The following is a 27,671-nucleotide window of genomic DNA, read 5'->3' as shown; positions in this document are numbered from 1 at the left end:
ACATAGCAAGAAACTGGCAAGAGCTGGTATTTGAACATTGGTGAACACAATCCAGGGGTATGTGATTTCAGGGGTAGTGTTTTACCCCCCACTACTGGGGGAATTTGTACAGGAATAAATTCTAACATCCGCATGTCGGTTTTAGCCCCTAGACATATGAATGTTAGAATTTATTCCTGTACAAATTGCTTTAGAAGAATAAAGATCAACAACTTTGCTGGGAAATGGATAGTTCCTTTTTGATAATTTTCAAGGTAATTGAATCTAACTCAATTACAATTTCAAGCCCTTAGATTGTTTTTTAACCACTTCTGATTGTAGTTAACTTCTTTTTTTAAAGCTCTGAACTGTTCTCTATCATTTTTGGGTCATTAAAAAGAGAATCTTAAATGTTAACTATGTATTTTCATACCTAAAGTGATTATTATGAATGTCAGCTCTAGGAGCTCTTGAGGCGTTCAGTATACCTGCCAATGCCTCTGAGTAGTCTCCTCCAACTCTCTATAGTCCCCTGCAATCCAGAATTAAAGGTCACCAAAAGATTATAATAGTAATCATAATAACCCTAATAATAACAAGGATATAATAGTATAACAATAATACATATTCTAACATGTTATTATTACTTGTATATTGTACATGTATATATCACTTGTACTATTGAACTTGGCACCCTGAGGAGTCAGGAGGAGAAGTATGAGGAGAAAGACTCTGGAGGAGGAGAAAAATCTGAAAACCTACTTCTCACTCCACAATTTAATATCTTACATATTAGACATATATTCTTACATATTAGACATATAGTTTCCTGATAGAATATCAAAGGGAATACCAAAAAGCAGCTTCAAGAAATGCCTCATTTGTCTATTTACATTGTTCTTTTAAAGATATATTGTTTTGGAAAAGCAATTCTCAACTACTTTTTAAGAAAATACAATTTGAGAATCAGTAAGACAACTTTAAAAAATGATAATGTACAGTTGTACAACTAATTCGACTAATTAACAATAGCAGGTTTGTCTCAAGGGTTAGAAGTTGTGATATGAGCTGGGGGAGGGTAGTTTGCAGTAGCAGCATTTCACAGGAAAATTCCCTTTTTTCAGAAACAAGTTACCAGAATTAATGAGCTTAGCTGACTAGCTGACTAAATCATATCCTTTCCTCCCTGGAAACTCCTCAGACAGAAAATCCTTCAAAGGTTTCTGCTTATCCTCTGAAGTGCAGAGCAAGTCTCGTTTTATTAAAAGTCTCTCTACCTTTAATGAAGGAGATTAGCTTTAGTTTTACTTTTTTCTATCCAAGAATCTTTAACAGAGAGAAGAGATAACTGACAGAGAACAGGTGGCACACAAATCTTTCTAAAGCACTGACTACGGCACACAGGGCAAATGAGCAATATAAATATGCAAATGTGGTCATTCATGTCCTTATTATCCGTAAATGCTAAACAATTAAGTGGGAAATGCTTTGGGGAATAATTTAGGTAAAACTGCTTTTATGGGCTGTGCTACAGTGAAATGTATTTCGGTTCTCATTTGGCCATTTTATTGTCAATGTTGAGGACTTCACAGGAAGCTATAGAGACCTGTGGGACTCATCAATGTTAATTAACTTCAAGCAAAGACTAAACCTACAGGATGTCGAAAATACATTTAAGATGCAGCTCCCATCTCAGGATAATATGCTCTCAGCTTAGAATTAAGACAAGGGTCTTAAACGGAAACGCTTGCAAACACCAGGTGACTGTTGAAAGAGACATGCTGTTTTCACTTCCAGCTATTGATGCCAGGTTGGAAAGTGGATCCATTGTTGTCAGGGGGAAATGTGGGTCCAAGCCTTTGGATCATTCTTTCCAGGTAATAGCACGACCACCTGGGAGTGTTTGGAGCCTGGTGGTCCAAGTTTAGGTTCCAGCTTTACCATTTGCAAGCTGTGTGAGCCTGTAAAATAAGTTATTGAACTTCTCCATGCCTTTGTTTCCTCATTTGTGAGATTTGGGATGATGAGAATGGTGATACCTTAGAGGATTTTTTAGAAGATTCAGTATTAAAACAAGGTCTGGCACAGAAAGTAGAGAGGTAAGCAATTCAGGTTTTTATTGGAAATTTTCTAACTTAAGGATGTTGGTAACTAATTTTTCTTTTAAAATTATTACATCTGCTGAATAAACCATATCCAAGAGCAAAATCTGGCCCAAGGCCCTCAGGTTGTAACTTCTGCATTAAACTTATTTGAGTCTATTAAAAAGCTCTTATAACCTTCCACTGGTTTTAAGGCTCAGTAGCCATTGTTCATAATTATTTATTTGCTTATATATTCTCTTTATTTGCCCAAAGGACTTGTGGTAGTTTACACTAAATGGTATAGTTCCAATTAAACTGGTAGTCAGTAAAACAAAATAAAAATACCAGAGCAGTTTAATAGAGTTGAAGATGTATAAAGAGGAGAGAAAATGTTCCAGAAAACCAAAGCTCAGGAAACACTGGCATGGAGGAAGAAAAACTAAACTCCGAGCTTCATGGTAGCCAAGACAGAAAGAGAAATATCATGAGTCTGTTTACGTCACAGTGTTCAACAGGAGGAAGCTGCATATCAGGTTGTCAAAAGACATTTCTTTCAACTTTTAACTGTGAAATTTCTGAAAAGGGTCTTTGTATAAGGGACATTTGAGAATTCAACAAAGAGTATCTTAAGTAGCAGTTCTATTGAAAAAGTGGAGAAATCGTGTATGTAGCAGCTCCTTAATTCTTGCTTCAGGACCAGCTCCAGGTACACTTATTCATAGTCATGTAAAGGCATTTGCAAGAGGCAGAGAATGGAGAGCGTAGCGGGTCCAGTTGCATTCTGCTTGAGGTTATCTGATGATTCAGAGATGAAGCTTAGAAAATCTCGAGTAAAGAATTGTTAGTATGATCCCTATTTTAGCTTTCCCCAATATCAACAATTTTAGTTTGAGTTCCTATGGAAACTCTATTATAGACATCTTGTGTTTTGACTAAAAGATCCTACAAGCCAGGGATATGTGTGGGATGAAGGGTGAACTGGTGAAAGAAAATAGCACAGGAGGGCCAAGAATTCTCAAAATGTAACTTTGGGCCCATTCAAGCCCTTGAGTGATTCTCGAACAGAAGTCCAGAATTCTGCACCAAAAGTAGAGGACAAATAATTTTAACCTATGATTTTTGAGGGTAGTTACCAATTTTGTACTTCTGTTTTAGAAGAACCTTAATTTAGTTCCTGCAGAATGGATGATTTGGAGCAGGTCTGCATCCTGAGAGGTCAGTGAGGTTAGGAGAGCTGCAAAACGTGCCCTGAAAGTGAGTTTTTATGTGTGTACCTTTCTTGTCTCTCTCCTTCCCAAGACTGTAAACTGTGCAAAGGCAGGGATTATTGTCTGCTTATTATTTTCAGGGCATGCAACAGTGCCTGGCACAGAGTCTGCTCCTAATAAATCTTTGCTGAATATGTGACCAGAATTTTTTGTTATTGGACATCTGGATACCTATATGTGTCTGATTTTTTTCTATGACAATTTTACTTTGGGCATATTTTCTATTTTGCAGCTTCTGGTGGACATAATGAATAAACACATTCATTTGATACTTAAAGCAGACTGATTTAAACCCAGATGTTTCTTTGAAAAACGTCTTGCTGTCTTTGAATAATTATTATAGTATATTTTCTGAGATTTCCTTTCTTATCAGTAAATAAATAAATTACTGGATGAATTATCAAATTAAAATAGCTGTATATTATTCAAAAGAAGAGTTTTTCTCTGAATTCATTTATCTATTCCTTCATCACTAGTTTATCACATTTTATTGGTTATCAAGTCTATTCCAGGAGCAGTATAAGGTATTGGAAATACAGTCATGAGCCCTAAGTACCTGCCCTCTAGGGGGATATTTAATGATGGCAAATACTTACACTGAACTTTCTTTGCACCAGGTGCTGTTCTAGGCATTTTGAATATATTAACTCATTTATCCCATTACCAGCCACCCTGTAAGTTAGGTTACTGTTATTGTCTATATTTTGTAGATGAAGAAATATAGGGCCACAGATAATATTAATAATTGGCTGTTACACTAAGAATTCTGAATCCACAGTCCCTACTCCCCGTCACCATCACAGTTTCTCCTCACTTTGCTTCCTAAGGGACTGCCCAGCTCAGTGCTAGGCACACCTTATGTGTTCGAAAATTACATCCTGAGCCAAACCTCTTCCAGTCTAAAGGAGGAGAGACCCTTTGGAAAGCATCAAACACATCTGCAAGGGAAGAATTTACTGCTTAAAGCCCATAAATTATTTGGCTTCCTCACAATAAGGAGTGCAGAACTTACATTTTTAAGGAAGTCAATTATCTTAATGGTTGGTATGTAGTTGACTTCACCAATCAGTGTGTAAATTTCTAAAATTTTTCATGTTAGTTAAGTGGATGTGGAAAGTTTTCATATTAAATTAAGATAGGAACAATACTCATTATTACTATTGCAATGAGTTATGCTGTCATCTGTCAAATTGAAGGCTGCATGTGTAACCTCTTGTGTCTTTAATCATTTTCTATAGGTTCTTAATTTGACCAAACTATGTGTATTATAGTGAGAGAATTTACTACAAAGAACAAAAGTAATTGTGTTCATTGAGGAAACACGTTTAGTTACACATATGCAGATTAAATTGATGCCTGAATGCTTCACGGAGGAAATCTTTGTAAGATATCACTGTAAGGACTTAAAGAAAATAATTACCAATTCTGTGCCACTGAAAGGAGAATTCTATGTTTGATGATTATGTCTGCATGTTTATTATAATTTGAATTTACCTATGAGATACGAAGTAAGTGAGGATTATGCCAATTTGAATGATTCAAGTATAGTAATAATCTAGTCTCCTTTTATTTTTCTATTATATATATTCCTTTAAATCACTGAAAAATTCTCTTATTCTCCCAATGCATAATGCCTGAACAGGCTAAAATATTAAAAGGAGGAGAATGAGAGTAAACCAGAATGAGGAACCCATTTAATAGAAGCTGGCTGAAGGCCCTAGAGTGGTATTGAAGGCCCTAGAGTGGTATTGCTTAAATGAACGCTCACAAAGATGGTATTAATTAATGATTGTTCAGGATCTAAGAGTAATAATTCAAATGGGAATGGTTGTCAGATACGATATTGGGGTCATGAAAGAAAACATATGAAGAGCTGAGGAATCTCTTCCCTTTTCCTACTGCTTCTAAGGACACACTTTGCATGCTAAAAAATCCTCACCAACAAGGACAGTTCAACAACGAGAGATGCGCCAGACACACTTGCGCTGGCTCCTGGGCCTTGTCAGTCCTGCAGGGCTGCTTTGTGTAATTTGGCATGGAGATGCACTCAGACAGGATGGATCAAAGCACACAAGAGCCAACTATGAGAATTCAAAGGCAAAAAAGGCTTCAGATGATCAGGAAAGCATCTTGGTGTAGAGCTTCCTGGTGTTTTAATTTCTTGTAGCATTTTACCTTTTGGGGGCTTTACAAAATTTAACTATGATTGAAGTTAAGTGCCCAGCTTGGTGCTTGTGTCTCTCATTTTTCCTACTAAGAGCACTATGAGAAATGCTTGAGAAATTGGATTATCTTATTTGGATGTTCTTACCTATTTGTGTAAGCTGTTCAAATCTTTTCACTGGAACGAATTCACTGACCTTCCTGCTTCTGTGGGGAAATCAGAGATACTGGATACCCTTAGCTGCTAGATAAATCTAGATTCTTCTTAAGTGAATGACCACAGCTGGATGGCCGCTTCAAGCAATATTATGAAAGTAGGTTAAGATGAGAAATATAGGGCCTCATTAGAATTTCAAGGGCATTTGAGACAGGCAAAATATAATGAATTGTGTTGGAGTTTGGCCAGGTCAATGATGCTAAAACTCACTCAAATAAATAGATAAATTTTGAAGCCCTATCCTCTGTTTAACCTCCCACCCCAAAAATGATTTTCTTTGCCAAAACTTTTGATAATATTCCAGACTATTGTCTCATAGGTGACTCTAAAGGAATGCTGCCTTCAATTTAATCACCTTGGGCTCTGCAGAACCGAGGTGTTAAGTAGAAAATCTCGATCATTTTTTTCTTTATCTGCCTCTTTTTCGACGTATTAAATCACTGCAGTAATTAAAACATTTAAATCACAAAGTGAGATGGTCATGTATTAAAGAATATGAAAGAAACAAACTTTCTCATGAAAAAGTGCACAAAGATGAATCCTTAATTCAGTTGTTGAATTTGAGGGCAACAGTTATAAAAATTTTGTTATACTAATTATCTAGGTAACTCCTTTGTGCTGAAATAAAATTATGTTATCATTAGCAGGAAGAGATGTAACAATTTCACTGTTTGCCAAAGCTTACCCAGTGCAAGGAACAAGCTTAGATATAAATCTTCCATCTTATGAAACTTATTATATCCTTTCATCCAGACTTCACTGATAGTATCCTTAACTTAAAATAGTCTATGATATGGAAAGCAAAAAGCCCATTCCACCATTCTTTTAATTTACTTCCTGAATGAGCTAGAAAAATGGTTTTTTTTTTTTTTTTTTTTTTTTGGCCGGGGCCGGGCTTGGTGGCTCACGCCTGTAATCCCAGCACTTTGGGAGGCTGAGGTGGGCGGATCACGAGGTCAGGAGATTGAGACCATCCTGGCTAACACGGTGAAACCCTGTCTCCACTAAAAATACAAAAAAATTTGCCAGGCGTGGTGGCGGGAGCCTGTAGTCCCAGCTACTCGGGAGGCTGAGACAGGAGAATGGCGTGAACTCAGGAGGCAAAGCTTGCAGTGAGCTGAGATCGTGGCACTATATTCCAGCCTGGGCGACAAAGCGAGACTCCATCTCAAAAAAAAAGGAAAGAAAAGAAAAGAAAAATGATTTTTAAATATCTCCTAAGAATCATTTTCACTGATCTTTAGAAAATACTATTTTATTATGTACATTTATAATTGCCTTGATGTTACCATTAGAACATTGATCTTCAGAGTTTGATTTTACGTACATCTTTGGTTGGAAAGACCCAAGGAAGTCATCCAGTCCAACCAACCACTCAAGAATTCCATCTTTCCTATCCACAAACAACTCTAATCACATAGAATCTTTTTTCTTTGCAAGGATGCCTGTCTCATTTGTAGACAGTTTTAATTATCTGAAAATGTTTTGATGATTGAACTGAATTTTGCCTCTGTCACTAACTACACTGGCACTAGTCATCTCCTTCAAAAGAAAGTAGCATCCATTTAACCATGCTCTTGCTCTGGGTACTAGATACATGAGCATGTTCTCTTTATAACACATGTATTGAGCTATAAATATATTATGTGTACACTTTTATCTGTGTGTGATACTTCAATAAAATGTTAACAAAAGATGATAACCAGATCTTGATTACAGTTTTATCAGTAGAGAGTAAACTGTTATTTTGAAAGGGGTAATTCTGAAGAAACTCTTTGAAAAAAGCAATAAACATATACAGCTTCAGCAGTAGATTATCTGTGACACTTATGAAATGTTTCATTCAGACCCTCTTCCTTATTGGGGTCAGACTACCATGAGAGGAGTGAAAAACAGGTCTGAAATTTATATAGCTGCATCTTAGAGGCATCAAAAGTAGGTCTAGTTCCCTTTTGTTGGAAAGGGTTCATAGAGTTTTGGATATGAGAATCCTTTACATAATGAATTCATTAAGAACCATTATAATTGAGAGAAAGAGGAGGTAAGAGCAAACAAGGAAGAGAAAAGAGAGGAAAAAATGGAGAAAGATTAATCTGTAGCTGTAAGATATCAATATAGCCACCTGGGAAAATGTAATAGTAATCCCATCTTGATCTAAACTCTAAATTCAATCTGAAGAAATATTAGATTGTGGAGAGCAGGACATTTTGTTTGATCGAATTTGAAAAATCTTACGCTATTGGCTGACATCTATATCATTGTTTGATACTTGAAGAATTGATGGTTTCGCATGTGCCAAAAATGGCTTGCCCATACATAACTTTATTCTAGCCACCATTCCTCTTTTTTAAAACACTATGGGAGATGTCAGGAAGTAAAAATGGAAAAAACAACCAGAAAACTTACATGTCAACAAAACCTTGTGGCTCTGTCTTAAGACACTAACTCAGCAAGGGCAGCTCTACGGAAACATCTAACTGACAAAATTACTTTTGCCATAAGCCAATTAACTAAGAACATACGCTTGACTCAAAGATAGTGCCGGGAGGATACAGCAGGCTAGAGCTAGGCCAAATTTGCCTTAAGCTAGGAAGTGCTTCATTGCACAAATGATCCTAATCACATTTCCAGTAATGACCCCTATAGGTTTGTCATGATCCATTAAAAAAAGAGTTCATAAAAAAAGGTTTCATTTTTAACAAAAGCCTTTCTCATAAAAATGTAAGCTCATATAATATCTTTGAATTTTTGAATAAATAAATCCTTAGATTCTTGATAGGAAGAAAATGGAACTGAGAAACTTAAAGATAAGGTGTTAGATACTCTTGAAAATGGAAGATCAATCTGAAATAAGGAGAACACATTTTTCAAATTATGATATGTCAAGTGGCATGGAAAACTTAATTTATCAAAATATGGCATACACTATAATTAGAGCAAGAATTCTGAGGCTCATCTAGTTACTTCCGGATTAGGAGAATGAAAGAATCTTCAAAAGGTTTATTAAAGTTTTTAGCTGCTAAGGGCAAAACTTTACCTGACATGTGGGTTGATGATCAATGCTTACAACTGAGAGTCCTGAGATTTCTCTCAAGCTTCAACTGATTGATTTCAGCATTTTGATATTCATGAAATATTGGTTGGGCCTCCTGTTATGGGCTAGGCACTGTGCTAGGTCCTGGAGCTATAGTAGTCAAGATGTTCAAAGTCTATTTCATGGTGGACAATTCTAGTAAGGACTGAGAGAGGGGAGATTAAAAATTAATGGAAGTGTGTGTGTCTGTGTGTGTGCGTAAGATCACACAGTGATAAGTAATATGAAGAAATTAATAAGGGTAAGGAAATAGAGCATGTGTTTGTATGTGTTGGGGTGCAGAGAGAGGTGGCATTTTTGTGGGAGGTTTAGATAGACCTCTCTGGAAAAGTGGTCTTTGAATAAAGATTTAAAAGAGGGAATCACCATGCAAAAATCTGTAGTCTTTTAGGTAAAGGGAAAAATAAATGTAAAACCCCTAAGGCAGAAATGAGTTTGGCCTAACCAAGTAACTTTAAGACCCCCAGCCTAGCTACAGTGAAGAGAGTGAGGACTCAGGAGGTGATTTTGGAGAGGATAACCAAGGACAGATCACACAAGGGCTTCCAAGAATATGTTAAGGAGTACAAGTTTTATTGAGAACATGTGAGCCACTGGACTGTTTGAATGGAAGACTCACATGATCTGATGCATATTATGTTACTACCAAAGCTGTGTGGAGAACTGATTTAGAAAGTCAAGAATGGAAGAACACCAAAACATTAGGCTATTGAAGTAGTTGAGGTGAGACATGACAGTGGCTTGGTCTAGAGTAGAAATGGTAGAGGTGGGAAGTATGATCGTGCTTGAAACACAGCTTAAAGGAGAAGCCAACAAACTGTGTGGAGGAATCAGATGTGGGATATTAAAGAAAGAGAGAAACCAAATACGGCTTTGAATTTATGGCCTGACCAACTGGGTGAATATGCTGTTACCACTTACTGAGATGGGGAAGAAGTGTTTTTGTCGTTTTGTGAATTTTTGTTTTGTTTTGTGATTATTTTGTTTGTTTGCTTTAGCTTAATTTTTTTCTTTTGGGTTTCATGAAGATAAAAAAATAAAAAGTTTTGCCTGGGTTATGTTATGTTTGAAAATCATTTTAGCTATCTAAATACAAAAGTTAAGGGAAGTTCAAGAGAGGAGCTAGGGCTGGAGACAAAAATTTAGATGTTGTAAACATCTATCTAAAATTTAAAGTCAAGAGATTACATGAGATTTTCCAAGGGGTGAAAAAATATGTTTAAGGATTGAATCCTAGGGGACTCCAGCATTTAGAGTCTAGAAAATAGAGGATATGCTAGCAATAGAATGATAGTGAACAAGAAGAAAAGGGGGCAGATGTTAAATAAAGAAATTATATCCAGCAGGTCAGAGAGAACAACTGTAAACTAGAGGCCAGTTAAGATAAGGACTTAAAATTAAGTTTTAGATTAGCAAATGGAAATTGTTGACAGGGAAGTTTTCACCGAAGTAACAAAAACTGCCTTAATGGGGAGGTTACCGGGAAGTGAAAAAGTAGAGAGTAAGTATACACATCTCTTTAGAGGAGGGTGGAATACAGAAGAGGATATCTGAGGAGGTGTATGCATTCTAAGGAGCATTTTTTTTCCAGAGGATAGATAGGCAAGCCAATTAGAATGATTTAGAATAGAGTGGAAAATCAATGATGCAAGATGTATAAAGAATAATTGCTAAAGATCCTGAATCATAGAGAATGAACAGGGTGCCATGCATAAGTAAACTTCAGGTGGGAATGTTGTAATGGAAAAGTAGTCCAAACATAGGCAGGAATTGGGAGGCGGCAAGTAAATGAGTGACAGATAGATAGGTAGGTGTTGGGAGAGTCCATATACCATGGGCACTGAGGATCACTGCAATTCTTGTTGGTTGTACCAAGAATGCAAGATCCTTACCATTCTACCCAGGCCATCTCTCAGGATTGGTTTTTGCAGCAAGCAACTTTGAAACATGAGGTTCAAAGTTGGGACAAAAAACAGATTGGCTTACTGCCTGCTATGAAAACAGATAATTTATCAAGCTATTGTTCCTCAGCTGTGATGCAAATCCACTGCAGGTACACCATCCATCTAGCAAATCACCCCTGTAAGACTTGAATGCAAAAGAAACCTACATAAACATGATACTCATGCAGTCTGCTGTGCTGTGAGTAATATAGTCATTTGTCTTTGACCCAAGAGTTTAGTGTCTTCTGCCAGCATCCATGAAACAGTAACAGGCTAACTCATTCCTTTATAAACAGGGTAAAATTAAATCTCAGACCCAACAGTTATGGCAACAAAGATGAGATCCTGAAAGAGACATGTCTTTCTGGAAGAAAAATGTTAAGAGCCTTTGGGATGGGTTCAGATGTAGAAGATGAGTTCCCTGGACTCCCACTGAAATGGTAGGTGAAAGAGGGAAGCAAAAGACCCCCAAGGTCCTGCCCATCAATCAGATTGGGATTAAAACAAACAGCCTTATATGGTGCCTTGGTTGTTTCTAGCTCTCCTCTAGGTGGGAGGAGGAAAAAACATTATTATGACAATAGGGCAGCAAGCCCTGTGGCTCCAGCCAGAAGGCAACGTATCTGTGACAGCTGAGTCAAGGAGTACTGAAAGATGAAATAAATGGAGTCAACAATGACATCATTTCAATTCAATATAGAACTTTAGTTAGAAAAAAAAATGATGATTTTATTTGATGATGATGAGTTTATTTGATTGAGCCACAAGCAAGAGAAATTGAATTGAAAGTGAAATTGAATGTAAAACCTTGTTTACTAGTGTCGAGCTGCTCTCTCCCTCTATGACCCCTGATTCCTCCCCCTCCCTATTCCACAACATCAACTTCTTTAAGAAGAAATAACATTGTTATATGAGATCTCAAGTTACTAGCTTACTCAGGTGTGGCACTGTTCTTGCTTGGTGACTACCCTTTGACAGGGCAGAGCACAATGGCATGCAGGGGGGGCAAGAAAAAAGGGGTCCTCTGGGCCCTGACACTCATCAGATATCAGGATATACATGGATAGGAAGCAGCTCTGGCACTTGGTCACCAGCCCCTTAGAAAGGACCAAGCCTTTTCCCACGTCCACTCCCATAGGCTAATCTCCCCATCATCCTCCATTCCTTGCACTCCCAACTGGGGGATAGTATGGTTTTCTGGTGGCTGTTGCTATAACCCCTAATGAGAACAACTAGAATCAAATGGATTACCCAGCATCTATCTAGATGGCTTCCATCATTATCTGGATCCATCCTCTTACCAGAAAACATATCCACTACCACGAACTACAGCAAAGGACTATATGTTTCTAATCTAGAAACTGCATACCAAAGGAGACTCCTGCCAAAAATTGGCCTGATTGTTTTGCAGTAAAGGAGGCCACATTACAAGGAGCATTTTCCCTGCTCACTTCTAGAAAATTGGCTGTGTCAGATCTCTGACCCTCTCTTGGGACTACCATTGGTGCCTTGCTAATATTGACATATTTTTAGATTATTTTGCTGCTATTTCAGTTTGATAATCTGATTCTTATTTTCAGTTTTCAAGACCATCTACAATCTGACAATGGTGTATTTTTGTCATAAAGGCCACCTAGCAATGGGCCAGTAGTAAACATATTCAATGGACATTCCACACTCTTATCATTCTCTGATAAGGCTGCTGGCATCATTGAGATATGGAATAGACTTTTTGGAAACCAATCCTGAAGATTTCTGACTCTCCCTCCTTTCTGTATCTACCTTCTTTGCCTCTTTCTGGCCCACAGATTTTATTAAAACAGTTTATTAAGGCTGTTTGAGCATTAAATATGGCCATGGGCAGGAAAGATTTGTCTCCTGTTGGCCAACTCCTAGGTAATGATCAAGATGGATGGGTAGAAAAATTATGTAAACTTATTTTGAAAATTCATGATTATGCCTTGACCATTTATGAACCTGAAGTGTATTTTCTTCCCCTAGTGACAACCTCATGTCAGCCTGATTTGTACACACTTTGAAGGGCAGCCACATCTAAAGGGGAGACTAAGAGATTCAAACTTAACTTGATGTAGCTACCTGGATTCTTTTATTGAATTAACATGGTCTTAGATCATAAAGACAATGAACACTGGTTGAATATACTATTCACCAACTAGTATAATTACTTATAGTAACCTAACTGGACTAAGTGGGAAATATAATGAATGAATCTCAGTAAATATTTTTTAAAGTGACCTATTCCTATTCATGTCTGACCTCTCTGGACAAAAGGTATTGGTATGAGCAGATGATTGGAGAAGAGGTAAAGTTATAGCTACTGGGTTGGGACACCCTAGTTTCATGGCCATGGAGGGAGAATAACAATTCTAGCACCCGAGCACAGATCACTTTAAACCCCAGGCAGTTCAGGGGAGAGAGGCACTTAGGCTTCTTATTCCTTAGATTCAGCAATGCAGGCTGGCAAAACAATTGTATGGTCTAGCTGAATCTAGGAGCAGCTGCAGTTGACAATCTAAACTCACTACAGGATTTGTCATCCCTGTCCAGGTGTTATAAAAACACCAAAAGTCTTGCAAACTTGGCTGGTCCTAAACTACTTCACCATAGCTGACACCACTAATGGAAGCTCCTGAACTGCCTCCTCCTCAGCCTTGTATGCGTACAAAGAGATAGGTCCCACAACTTTGTTTCAGTTTTTTTATTTGTTTTTTTTTTTTAAAGAGACAGAGTCTCATTATATTGCCTAACCTGGTCTCAAACCTCCTGCCTTGGCCTCCCAAAGCACTGAGATTTCAGGTGTGAACCACTGTGCCCAACCTCAATCTTAATAACATATATTCATACGCTTTTCCTAATACTCAGGCAGCTTAAGTGTTGCCATAAATGGCAATGGGAGCTGCAAGCGATGCTTCTGTTGTACTGAATTAACCAAACCAATGTAACAAAGGTATAAATCAATTTTAACCAGAAATTCTGAACTAGAGTCTGTCCCTTTGTGTTATATGTTTGTATGTGGGGGAATGTCTCTCCTTTGGGGGTTAGTGTTGCTCGTTTATTGCCCCTGTCATTATTGGTAATGACATCAAAGATCAGTATGTCAATCTAAGCTCCCTTACGTGGGTCACAATGGATAACTGACTGGCTTTAGACTACTTTCTGGCTATCTAAAGTTAAGATGATGATTGGTGCCCCTGGGACTTATGTACAATTGGCTGAGTCCAGGGCCCTGGGGAGTAGAGTTGAAATGTATACTACAGGTTGACTTCATCTTATTGCTTAGAGTCCTCTTGATAGTCTCCTTAATTAAATGCTGCATGAGGCAAATTGAACAGATTTAATCCCAGTCTCTGTCAGTCACATTAAGCAGGGTGGCTCATGGAGTGGCATATTCATATGAAAATTCGAGTTCAGCCAAGAACAAGTGGGGTCATGGGATGGATTGCTGGAAGAAGCAACTCATCATGGGCCCTGTGTGTCCTGGCAGTTTCTTACTGGGAATCCTAAGAATGCAAGGCCCTGACTGATCTTTACCTGCCCATTTCTTGGGGTTGGTTTTGCAGCAAGCATCTCTGAAGAATGAAGTAATGTCTCCCTCTGGGACAAGGAGCAGGCTTCTTACTGCTTACCGTAAAAGCGATGAATTCCCCAACTTGATGTTCATCAGTTGCGACAAAAATCTGTCTGTGCAGTACTCATCTGGGCCCATGTAGTACCAACCCTGTGGGAGTTGGGTGCAAGGGTAATTCATGTAAACCTGAGGCTCATGCTGCTGGTTGTGCATTTTTTCCTGACACAAAGTTTTATGTCTTTTGCCAGCATTCACAAAACAGGAACAGGATAACGTATGAGCTTGTAAAAAGGATAAAAATCAAACCTCAGAACTGACAACACTTTTGGTGGCAGGAAGATACTATTTTCCTGATGAAATTAGACTTGATGATCAACTTAGGGTAACAATGAGGGAGGAGGTATTGGAAGTTTGAAGAAATAGAAGATTTAAAAAGGCTCATCTTGGGAAGTAGAGCTCTAGAAGGATTTTTATCTAGTGCTAAAGGCCCCATGAGATTTGGCACCATAAATTTAAAGTGACACTCAACAGTTCAGTGTGTGGCTTGTGAGTTTTTCTCCAACCACATTCAAATTGGTTGTAAGTGTGGAGAAGGTAGAGGATTGATTTAACCATAATTGTACCTTTGTCAGGCAAGTACAATGAAGAGAGAAAGAATCAGGTGAGCCGAAGGTATATGCAAGGGAATAATTATAGTGCTGGACCTTGAAACCTTAGCTGAGACAGAAGGTAAGTGAGGCAATGACTGGAAAAAAAGTGGTTAAGACAACAGACTAGGCTCAACGGAAAAAGTTCTAAAGTATATGAACTGGAATAATTGGAGGTTCTGGTCATAAAACAGAATGATTTAAAGTGATGTTTTTAGGAAGGTTATCAGCGATAATAAGGCCTAAGTTATGACCAAAGAAGTGGGCAGAAGTGTGTGTGGCATGGCAGTCACAGTCATTGGAAATAAGGATTTCAAATAACAGAGATAATGGTTTGTATCGGTTGTCTACACGGATGCTGAAATCCTCAAAATGATGACAGGAGTAAGATATTAAGGTAATCAGTGACTGAGGAGAAGGTACCGTGAGGTAGGAAGAATGTTGCAACCAAAAGAGGTAGTGAGCAGTGCAGTTCAAAGACATGTACTTCAACATGAGGTGGGTTTTTGATGTAGGCATTTAATGCTATAAACTTTCCTCTTAACATTGCTTTTGCTGTATCCCAGAGGTTTTGATAGGTTATGTCACCATTATCATTCAGTTCAAGGAATTTTTAAATTTCCTTCTTGATTTCATTGTTGATCCAATGATCATTCAGGAGCAGGTTATTTAATTTCCATGGTTTTGAGAGTTCCTTTTGGAGTTGATTTTGTTTTATTCCACTGTGGTCTGAGAGTGTACTTGATACAATTTCTACTTTTTAAAATTTCTCGAGACTTGTTTTGTGGCCTATCATATGGTCTATCTTGGAGAATGTTCCATGTGCTGATGAGTAGAATGTATATTCTGCAGTTGTTGGGTAGAACGTTCTGTAAATATCTGCTAAGTCCATTTGTTTTAGAGTATAGTTTAAGTCCATTGTTTCTTTGTTGATTTTCTGTCAACAAAAGTATAAATACCTTGCGGTTTTTTTTCATTGTGTTATTGTTTTATGGGTCCTGTGAGATTTATGCTTTAAGAATGCTCTATTTTGGTGTATTTTGAAGTTCTGTTTCAAGATTTAGAGCTGCTTTTTAGCAGTTCTTGTAGTCCTGGCTTGGAAGTGGAGAAATCTCTCAGCGTTTGTTTGTCTGAAAAAGATTGTGTCTTTCCTTCATTTATGAGGCTCAGTTTCGCTGGATACAAAATTCTGAATGAGGATGGAAGACTAATTTCCTAGATGAAGCAATGACATGAGGACATTTAGCTTACCTTTGGGACTAGTCAAACATGAGATTTGGAAGAAGAATAAAAGACAACCACCATTCAAGAAGATTGCAGAAGAAATGGTACCCTGAGAATATAGCATGATTTGAGCTTAAGCAAGCAGGTGAAGGAAACATTTAGAAAAAAAGTTGAGGATATTGGTAATTGGGCTTATTAAATCTTCAGCATACAGAGAGAAGTTCAGAATGGGGTAGAAAATTGCATGAAATTAGGGTATGTAGAGAGCATTCTGGGATAAAGACCAGAAATGATGAACTGGGACGCTGGGACTTCAGTGGGTGACTGAAGTAAGCAGACTTATAAGTCATAGTGGTATTGTTCCTGATGTACTTTAGGGAAAGTTGTAATCAATGCTGATTATAGCTTCTTCAGAAATTAATTGTTTCCTAAGTAATGACTAAGGGGGTAGTTTTTTTTGCCAATGGCAGGTATAATAAAACCTCTTTTGAGAAAGGGATATGTAATTCTTCAGGAAGAGGATTGGTTGGTCTCAGGAAGAGGTTTTGGATACTTTTTCTTGCCCTCGCAACTGGGTTGCTTGGGACTGAAGTGAAGCTCTAGGTGAATGTGCGTGTCATGGTGGTTGGGGAGGGGATGCAGGAGGAGAGGGGTGTTTCTGAGGGTCTTCTGTGTTAATATCAGAAGACAGACTCTCTCAACAAACTAAGTAGTAGACATTGGGAAAAGAGCTATAATTAATCATTTATTAGGTCAGGTGTAGGTCAATAATATTGTACTTAATGATTAACATGCTTAATAAAAAACATTTTGGGATCTTGGGTAGTTAGAAAAAAAGCATGGGATGTCAAGATGGGCATCCTCATGAGTAGTAAACACACACTAGACCACGTCATATGAGAGCTCGCAGGATGGTCTACTGTGAGGACAACTCCCAATATCCTCAACCTCCCCAATGAACATTTTCATCAGCTTCTTACTCTAACAAACGTTTGGCTATTCTCAGGAAACATTACTCTCCTGAAAGCTCTTTTAAATGGGTGAGGCCCACATCTCTCTCATCAAAATAGAACTCTGGTATGAAAATCTACCTTTCAGGTCTTCTAAGTTGCCAGGACAGCACCTCAAGACTTTAATGATGGATTTCCTGGCTTTGTTCTTTAGTTTCAGAAATTTTTTCTAATACGTATTGGTCAGCATACTTAAGTTGAAGAGTTGGCACCTGTCTGCTGATTATTCATTTGAGAGCTTTTCCCTTACTTGTGTGATTACAAGTCAACAGAGGAATGCCAACCTGAGACAGCAGCCAAGGCCCTTGATGCCATAGTTATCTATCTCTGTCATAGGGTCTACAAACATATCTGCCTCTGTTTTGGTCTGTATGTGGTCTTCCAAATATTAGCCTTTAAATTTTCCTCCTTGCTATAATATCTTTCTAAATAATAGGCAGTAAGCAATCAACAAAAATCATTTTTTAAATTAATGTATGTATAACGTGGTATACCTGTCCTAGTTATTGCAGCTAACATAGTAAAATCAAAAGGAGTACAAGCGTAAATAGTTATACACACTATGAATAGTTTTGTTCATAGAAATTAACATGCATGGTAAAGGCAAAGGTAAATGAATCAGATGAATCTTGAAAAGATGTTTTATGAAGTAAACGAGGATAGAAGCAAAGTTTCATCTTTTAGAGTTACAGTTATTTATGCATATCAAATATCTGTTTGAGAGTCCTAGGATTTATATTCTCAAATTTGAAATTGTAAGTAAGAAAAAAAAGTGCATTTCTAGGAACAATGCTCCTGAAATGTGAAGTCAGCAAATGAAAAAATTCTATTGAAAATTTCTCTTCCAGCAGGAGATATTGACTGTACCATTGCCTAATTCCTTCATGACTATATGAAGCTTTGAATGATATATGCTTGGCCCTCTATGGCTATTTTAGTTGGATTTAGGTAAAGTGACAGGATTTGACTTTTAAGGAAAAGTGAACGCTTCATTTTTAGCAACATTGTGCTTGAAGCGGATGAACTTGAGAACGAAAGCCCTGTGTGCAGTCACTTTGCCAGGTGGCTCTCATCGGGGTGTTTATTGTTAAGAAACCCGATATTTTTGCCCGAGGTTTGAAGCCAGGACTTCATAGGATCCCCTGCTGCACTCAGTTCTTTCCATACAGAGAGCAGATGGGTGAAGTAGAATAAAATCCCAGCCTCAGAGGCAACAATGTAGCGTTCCAGAGACCAGGGAGGGTGTTCCTCTGAGTTGGAGTACATGCTAATTGGAGTTGGTGAGGGAAAGTTAGAAATGAAAATTGGACTTGGATGAGATGGTTTGGAAACTTGTTAAGGGTATTATCATGAGTATAGTTTGATAAATAGAAATGAAATGTTCACGTGAAAGACATATCAATTGTTTCCAATTTCACTTGGCTGGTTAGAACAGGATGGTTCAAGGGTAAGCACACAGGTCATGAGATCCTTGTAAAAGTTTCAGTAGTAACGTTGATTTGTACTTCAAAATGTGAATTTATCAAGCTGTTTGGGTTCTTATAATTTCCACTAACTTCTATCTGGCATAAACAGCACAAAAGTTCCTCTTTATTGATTTATCTAATGGTGCCTTTTTATGGCTCCACTGTGACAGTTATCATATTGTCTTACACTTTGCGCATCATTTTCCTCTTGTTCTTTCATTTTCCCTTGGGAAGAGACCATGTACTCTCATCATTTTATCCCCAGAACTGAGCCCAGTGCCCCGGACTGGAAAGCTCAAACAGAATACAAAGAAGCAGCCAACATTCCTTCTAGTAGTGGTCAAGGGTGGTCATACAAAATAAAGATAATTTACTGACTTTGGAATGGACTGAATAGTATTATTCAACTACAGGCCTTCTCCAATTATAAATTTATTTTGCTTACCATTAAAATTATGTGGATGTGCAGGTTTAAGTAAATGCACAGACATTTAAATCAAGTGGCAATGTCCCATTCTCATTTTAATTTGAGTGTTGCAACTATGGTCACAAATAGTTATGACAAGATATGAGCATATTTTGCCAAATTTTTTTTTGAAATGATTTTGGAGAATTAGAGAATAGTAACCACTACTGCCTCTAGAGGCATGGTTCAATTCTAGTCATTAAAATATCTAAATGGATCTTTAGATTTTTCTCAATTACCTTACCAAATGAGACTTTTGGTTTCTCTGGGCCATGGTAACTTGCTTTACCGGCTGGAAATTCTAGAAGAAACCTTGAATAAAAGTTAATCCTCCTTCAGGGGGTCTTGATTCCTCTCACTAGGATTCTCTGCCTCCTTGAGTTCCTGTTTTCATTTGTCATCTTCCATGGTCTCATGCTCTCTCTATTTCTAACTCCCTGAGTATAATTCTGAGACTGTCAGTTAATTTTCTACTCTGGTATATATCATTTTTACATTATAAAAAGTTAGAAAAATTACGTTACATATGCAAATATTTTCAATATAGAAGGTAATTACACAAGTAGTGAAGAGTAATAAATACATTCTTAATTATAATACAAAAAAAGAACAGTTTATACCTGTATTTAACACTTGGAAAGGTTCTTTTGAATGGAGCTGTCAGTAAATGTACTATGCACAAATACATTTTTCAACATAATGGAAATTTTATTTTAATCTAACAACCAATAGAGCTATAAATACACATAGCATGTAAAAAAGTAAACTGTATGTTTTCTATCTGCAGAATATAAAATGGACGTATAACAAATAAAAATAAAGTTGAATATCCAACTATTCGGGATGGAAGAAAGGCAAGGGAAATAGTAAGTTATTTATTAATAATTAATTATAAATATAGTCATTGATAAAAATAAATGATATTTTGAACTTCTTGGTACTATCAGGAAGATAAAGAGAAAGTTAACACTTGCTTTTCTACCTGAAGCCATTAAAAAAATTTTTTTTCTTTATACTACTATAACACAAGTGTTTTTAACAAATGTTACATAGGGACTTTTAGACTGGACAAGAGAGCATAGACTTCTCTCTCCCTGTTTCTCCCCACTAAGCATGACTAAAAACTACATGTAACAACCAAACAGAACTCTGAAAGGTGGAAGAGGAAGGTGAACTGGTTAGACGCCCCAGGACTAACAGCAAAGCATCAGGGCTTTTTATAACCTCCAGCATAACACAAGGAGGTGCCTCCGTCCTGGTGTTTGCTGATCCCCGGTCAGCAACAGAAACAAGAGAAGGTGGCCGAGGTTGGCTCTTTCTTTCCCCAGATTGAACGAGAGTCCCACCTACAACACAAGGCGAGCCTGGAAGAATGGGCAAAGAGAATTAAACAAAGCCCTACTGATAAAAAAAAAAAAAAAAGAAGAAGAAGAAGAAGGAGAAGGAGAAGGAGGAGAAGGAGAAGGAGAAAAAAAGAAAAGAAAAGAAAAAAGAGCAGCCAGAGAAAGAGCTTACCTCCTCTGTTGCTGAGCCTCCCTTCTCCCCCCCTCCCCAGAGGCATCATAGGCAAGGGGGCCATGGCAAAAGGAATTATGCTACCACAATGGCCTGTTATGTGAAGTGTTTTCCTTCCTTAGCAGTTGTGAGACTCCCCACTTCCATCAAGAGATACCCTGTGAGTGGGGGATCAGTAAAGGGGATTATGCCACAACAGGTATTCAGCCTAGGAAATGCTCTCTACCCCCAGAGACAGGGAGAAGCTCACCACAACACCCACTAAAGGAGCCTCTTCATCTCCATAAATCAAAGACTCCCATTTCTCAGAAGGACATGGAACATTCTCACCTAAGGAAACACCTTCTGACCACTCAGGGATCATCAGTAGAGATCCTGGGAGGCCCAATGGCACAAGGTAAGCCAAGGAGGTCAAAACAACACAGCAAAGAATCAGAAAATAAACTGATCATTGGACCCACAGTCCACATAAGTAGGCCAGGACCTGTTCTTAAAACCTAAAAAGGTGATTGTCTGCTAAATTCAAAAATTCAAAGAAGACATGGAGTCTCCTAACTTAATATCTAAAATGTCCAGCATACAATTCAAAATCATGTCATCACAAGGATCAGTAAAACCATAACTTGAATGAGAAAATAAAATGAAATGATGTCAACCCAGAGATAAATCAGATATTGGAATTATCTAACAAGAATTTTAAAACAACCAGCATAAAAATGATTTAAAAAGCAATTACAAATTCTCCTGAGATGAAGAAAAAACAGAAGTATCAGCAAAAACATATGTTGCTTAAAAGAACAAAATGGAAATTATAGACTTGTAAAAAACAATAGATGAAGTAACTCCCTGAATGGGCTCAATACTAGATGGGAGACAAAAAAGAACAGAATCAATGAACTTGAGTACAGATCAAAAGAATTTGCTCATTCTGAGCAAAAGGCAGAAAATAGACTGAAACAAAAATAAAAACAGAGCCTCAGAAACCTCTGGAAGCATAGCAAAAGACCCAATATTTGTATGATTAGAGTCCCAGAAGTGGGGAAAAATAAAAAAGGATCTGAAAGAATATGCAAAGAAAAATTGGCTGACAAGCCCCCAAATTTGCCAAAAGACATAAATCTACTGATTTTAAAAGGTGAGACTATCTCAAATAGGATAAACCCAAATAAGTTAACACCAAGTCATATTACAAATAAATTGCTGAAAATTAGACAAAGAAAAAATACTGAAAGCAGTTAGATAGAAATAATCTATTACCTATAGGGCAACGCCACTTTTCTTTTTCTTTTTTGCAAACATATTGAGTTTATTTTGAGTTTACTGAGTTTATTGCAGAACTGTAATAGGAAATGGGATTGTATAAAAAAAAGAGATGGAGACAAAACTGGATGAGGGTTTCATACTGGGTGTCCCATCCACAAGCCTCAGCAGCCCACCCACGGATCTGCCCGCCTCAGCAGCCCCGCCACGGATCTGCCTGATTCTTTCGCATCAAGAAGTTGATCTTGTGAGCCATTTCCATACTGTAGATCCGCCGGCACTTTTCATAGCTTTCCCTCTGTCGCCGGCCGCATGGCTTCTCATAATACCGCCGAAGCTTAATGTCCTCAGTGAGCCCATCCGTAGTGAGGATTCTGTTTAGGGTCCTCTATGCACCTTCCACGTTCCCTTCCTATACCATCACAGTCCTGGTGATGAACTTCAGATGTTTTGCCATGAACTTGGGTTTAAATCTCCATTCTGCAGAGCCACAAAGACCCGTTGCCAGGCATGGAAAGGGCAGGGATGGCAAGGAGGCACCACAGGATGCCAACAACCACACACAGTTCCAAAAGGGCTTGGGTTGGGAGTTGGGAAAGTTCTCTTTGTTGGTCTTTGGAAAAGGGAGCAAAAGCCTGCAAACCTGCCTTCCTGCCGAGCCGGCCTTCCTTCCCCCAAACCCTGCACCCAGCACCACTTTACAATGATAGCAGATTTCTCATTTGAAACCATGGGGTGCAGAAAAAAAAGTTGTGTAGAATTTTTCAAGTTCCATGAGAAAAGAACTGTCAACCATGAATTCCACATTGAATAAAACTACTTATCAGGAATGAATGTGCAATAAACACATTCTCAAAGGAAAACCAAAAGAAATTGTCACTAGCATACCTACCCTCATAGAATGGCTAAAGAAAGCTCTGTAAACCTAAATAAAATGATTTAAAAAAAAAAAGAAAGACTCTTGAGGCCTAAGGTGGGGAGGACAAACAATGGAGAATAGACACATAAGTAAACACAATGGAGTATCCTTCTTTTCATGAGTTTTCTAAATTATATGTAATGATTAAAATAAAAATTATAACACCATCTGATCCTCAAAACAAGGATATTTTAAAGTGAAGAAGGCAAAAAAAAAAAACCTAAATAGAAGTGAAATTCCTATACTTCACTTGAAGTGGTAAAATACTGAAACCAATAGGCTGTGATCAGTCATACCCAGAGCAATCACTATGAAAATTACACAGAGTAATATATTTAAAAACACTATACAGAAATCAAGATGAAATCCCAAAAATAGTCAACTAATTCATAGGAAGTAAAGAGAAAGAAAGGAATCAAACAGAAAACACATAATAAAATCATAGAGCTAAGCCCTACAATATTAATAATTACTTAAACATAAATGGTCTAAATACATCAATTAAAAGGCAGAAATTGGCAAGATGAATTAAAAAAGCATGACCCAACAATTTGCTGTTTGATATACTGTTTACAAGAAAATCATTTCAAATTTAATGACATAAGTGGGTTGGAAATATAAGGGTGGAAAAATATATGCTGTGTAAATATAATTTTTTTAAAGGCAGGAATGGCTATAACAATATCAAATGAACTAGATTTCAAAGCAAGAAAAGAATATGAGAAAAAAAATCATTGCCTAATGATAAAAGGATCAGCACACCAGGAAGACATAATGACCCTAAATGTGTATATATCAAACAACAGAGCCTCAAAATACGTGAAGAAAAATTGATAGAACTGAAAGAAGAAAGAGACAAATCCATAATTATAGGTGGGGACTTTAACACCTCTCCTCTAAACAAGTAATGGACTGCTAGACAGTGCTATTCTGTATCAGTAAGGATATACAAAATGTGAACAACACCATCAGTCAATGGGATTTAATTGACATATATAGAAATCGCCTCTAAACAATAGCAGAACACATGTTGTTTTTTAATTTTTATTCAGGCAACCATGGAACATTTACCAAGATAGATTGTATCCTGTGCCAAAAAACAAACCCCAACAAATTTGAAATAATTTGAATTATTTGAAATTATACAGAATGTGTTCTCTAATCATAATGGCATCAAACTGAAAATCAATAACAGAAAGACAAGAGAAAAATTTCTAAACAGAAATTAAACAATTCAATTCTTATTTCTAAATCATCCATAGGTCAAAAAGGATGTCAAAAAGGAATTTTAAAAATACACAGAACAGTATTAAGATGGAAGTATGGCATATCAAAATATGTGGGATGCAGCTACTGAAGCACTATTGAGAGTTAAATTTATAATGCTTATATATTAGAAAAAAGAAAAGGTCTTAAATCAGTAATAAAACTTCCTACCTCAAGAAGCTAGAAAAATAAAAATAAATTTAAAAAACAGAAAATAAACCCAAAGCAAACAGAAATAAGGATATAAAAAAGAACAGAAATCAATAAAATTGCAAATAGGAAAACAGAGAAAATAAATGAAACCAAAAGCTATTTTTTTAAAAAAAATCAGTAAAATTGATAAACCTGTAAAAAGGTGGACATAAAAGGGGAGAAAAGATATAAATAGTCAAAATTAGGAATAAAACAGAGAAATCATTACAGATTCTGTAGCCATTAAAAGAGTAATAAGGCAATATTATGAGCAACATTATGCTCAGAAGTTCAACAGAAAAATCAGCAATATAGAAGATCCGATCACTACAATCATCCAACATGATCTAATTGACATATATAGAAATACTCCATCCAACGACAGCAAAATACACAATTTTTAGAAAAAAAAAGGACCAATCCCTTGAAATCCACAAATTGCCGAAAATAAGTATTCTTGATAGTCTCATAACAATACTGAAATTAAATTTGCAATTCAAAAGATCCAGAAAATGGAATCTCCAGGATCAGCTGATTTCCCTGAATATGTCTACTACATATTTAAAGAATAATTAACATCAATTTTACATACTCTCTTCCAGAAAATAGAAAATTAAGAAACATTTTCCAACTTATTTTATGAGGTCAATACTACCTTGATCTTAAAACCAGACAAAGACAGTACAAAAAAAAAAAGAGAGAGAAAGAAAACTATAGACCAATAACTTTCATGAACTTAGAAGCAAAAAAGTCATAAAATATTAGCAAACTGAAAAAAAATACACCAAGTGGGATTTATTTCAGATGTGCAAGTCTGGTTCAATATTTGAAAATGAACCAGAGCAATCTACCACATCAATAGGCTAAATAAGAAACTTACATGATAAATCAATTGCAGAAAATGCATCTGACCAAATGCAATACCCATTTATGATTAAAAACTCTTAGCAAGTTAGGAGTAGAGAGGAACTACTTCAACTTGAAAAAGAGCATCGATAAAAATTCATAGCTAATGGTAAAAGACTGAATGCTTTCCCTCTAAAATGGTGAATGAAGCAAGACGTCTGCTCTCACAACTCGTACTCAACACAGTAAAATAAACAGCATGTATATTGTAAAGGAAGAAATAACACCAGTCCTCTTTGCAGATGGCATAGTTGTCCATGCAGACAATGCCCTGGAATCTACAAAAAGAAAATTCCTAGATCTCATAGGTGAGTTAAACAAAGTCTCACTATACACAATCAACAACCAAGAAACAATCATATTTTTATGTTCTAGCTCTTTGGCAAGTGGCATCTGTTGCTTATTACCAGGAGTAAAAGTCTGGACACGTTTGGCCACTGCATTTTAGTATTGGAGTTACCAAGGAAAACACAACACAGTCAAGTACTAGATGGAACAATGCTTTACTCACATAGAGAAGAGACAGAGCAAGGTCAGCTATGTGGTGACCCCATAAGCAGTCCCCATAAACAGCAGGGCCTCCTTTCAGCAGATGCGGGGCAGTTGGCAGCATGCAACCATTTCATGCTGCAGCAGAAGAACCTTTTGCCCTCCCCGCAGAAGAAAGTTACAGCAGTGGGGCTGGCTAGGTGCCATATGATACATATGTTTAAGCAGAACGAGGGAGTACATATTGAGTCTGAAACAGGGAAAGATATTCCCACACAAGGTGATAACTCCAGCATGGTCTGCGAGGACGCTTTATCTCTTGGGAAGGAAGTGTTCTAGGCCCAAGGCCCATTCTTATGTGGCTGAGTAGGGGTTTCAAAGGCCACATGCACAATACTGCCTTTCCCAACACTAATAATGAATATGTAGAAACTGAATTAAAAACAGAATACTATTTACTATCCCTCAAAAGAAAATGAAATACTTAGGTATAACCTCACAAAAAACGCCCAGGGTCTGTATGTGGAAAATTACTCAACAGTTAAAAAAATAAAAACAACTCAACTAGGAAATAGGCAAAAAACATGGGGTGACATTTTCCTGCAAAAGACAAACAGATGTCAAACAAGCACATATAAGATGTTCAACATCACTAGGCATTAGGTAAATGCAAATTAAAACCACAGTGATATATCACTGCATACCTATCAACATGACTATTAAAAAAAACAGTGATAACATTAAATGCTGGTGAGAATGCAAAGAAATTGGATCACTCGTACATTGCTGGTGGGAATGCAAAATGGTACAGACACACTGGAAAACAGTTTGACAGTTTCTTAGAAAACTAAACCTGAAACTATCATAGGAACCAGCAATTTTACTCCTGGGCATTTACCTTAGAGAAGTGAATATTTATATTCACACAAAAGCCTGTACAACAATGTTTCTAGCAGCTTTATTCAGCGGCTGTTATGAATTAATAGCCGAAAACTGAAACAATCTAGATGCCCTTCAATGGCTGAATGGTTAAAAAATCTTTGATATATACATACCATCGAATTTTACTTAGCAATGAAAAGGAACAAACTATTGATACACACAACCTCAATAAATCTCCAAAGAATGATGCTGAGTGGAAAAAAAAAAAAACTCTTATTCTAAAACTTTACATATTGCATGATTCCATTTATATAACATTCTTGGAATGACAAAATTATACAAGTGCAGAACAGATTAGTATTTGCCAGGGATAAGGGATGAGGAGGCAGGGAAGGAGAGAGGTGGCATCCTTGTGATGATAATTGTTCTGGATGTGGACTTTGTCAATGTCAATATGCAAGTCTGATAGCTGAACTATAGTTTTGCAACATGGTACTATTGGGAAAATTAGGTAAAGCATACATGGGCCTCCCTGTATTTCTTAAAACTGCACATAAATATACTATTATCATTTAAAAAGTTATTTAAAAACAAAATATAGAAAAACGTGTAGACATAAAAATATGTGACATAGTAGGCAGGAGGATAAACTTAGAATCAGAAGATCTAGGTTCGTATCCCCAGTGTACCAGTTCTAGCTATTGTGTCAAATTGGTTATCTGTTTGCAAAACTTATTTTCTCTTTATTTTAGGTACACAGAAAGACTAGATTTTCTCGTCTTTTCTGCAATTAAATGTAGTTACATGATTACATTTGACCAGTAATATGTGGGTAAAAGAGATATTCATTACTTGTAGTGGTTGGCCCATAAAATCTGCAGGTGTCACACTCCATTTTCTTTCCTTCTCCAGTAGCTTGCTTCATAAGAGCACAGCAAATTTGGAAGTAACATTTTGAAGCGGGGGAAAAACATAGAGGAGCCTGTGACCCTGAATTGCCATTTGTAGGACAACTGATGATGGGAACCCAGTTTTGGAATTCACATGAGTAAAACATAAACCATTGCATTAAGCCACAGAGATTTGGGGCAG

The 27,671-nt window shown here is 37.1% G+C and overlaps 1 protein-coding gene and 1 pseudogene across 14 annotated transcripts in view; both read right to left on the bottom strand.

Annotated features, from left to right (window-relative positions):
* CRB1 (crumbs cell polarity complex component 1) overlaps positions 1 to 27,671 on the bottom strand; it is a 276,952-nt gene that overhangs the window by 92,257 nt on the left and 157,024 nt on the right. The window contains exon 1 of one of the 14 annotated variants that reach the window (XM_011509369.3): positions 25,720 to 25,810. The exons of the other annotated variants lie outside the window; for them this stretch is intronic. The gene's annotated coding sequence lies outside the window, so the exon portion shown is untranslated. Of the gene's footprint in view, positions 1 to 25,719; positions 25,811 to 27,671 lie in introns of those variants that run through there. 14 annotated transcript variants of the gene reach the window in all.
* On the bottom strand, positions 21,987 to 22,415 carry MRPS21P3 (mitochondrial ribosomal protein S21 pseudogene 3; annotated as a pseudogene).

Source organism: Homo sapiens, chromosome 1 (genome assembly GCF_000001405.40).
Source record: "Homo sapiens chromosome 1, GRCh38.p14 Primary Assembly".
Classification (NCBI taxonomy): domain Eukaryota; kingdom Metazoa; phylum Chordata; class Mammalia; order Primates; family Hominidae; genus Homo; species Homo sapiens.
The sequence above is the reverse complement of the archived record's forward strand: the minus strand, read 5'-3'. Positions and strand labels throughout refer to the sequence as shown.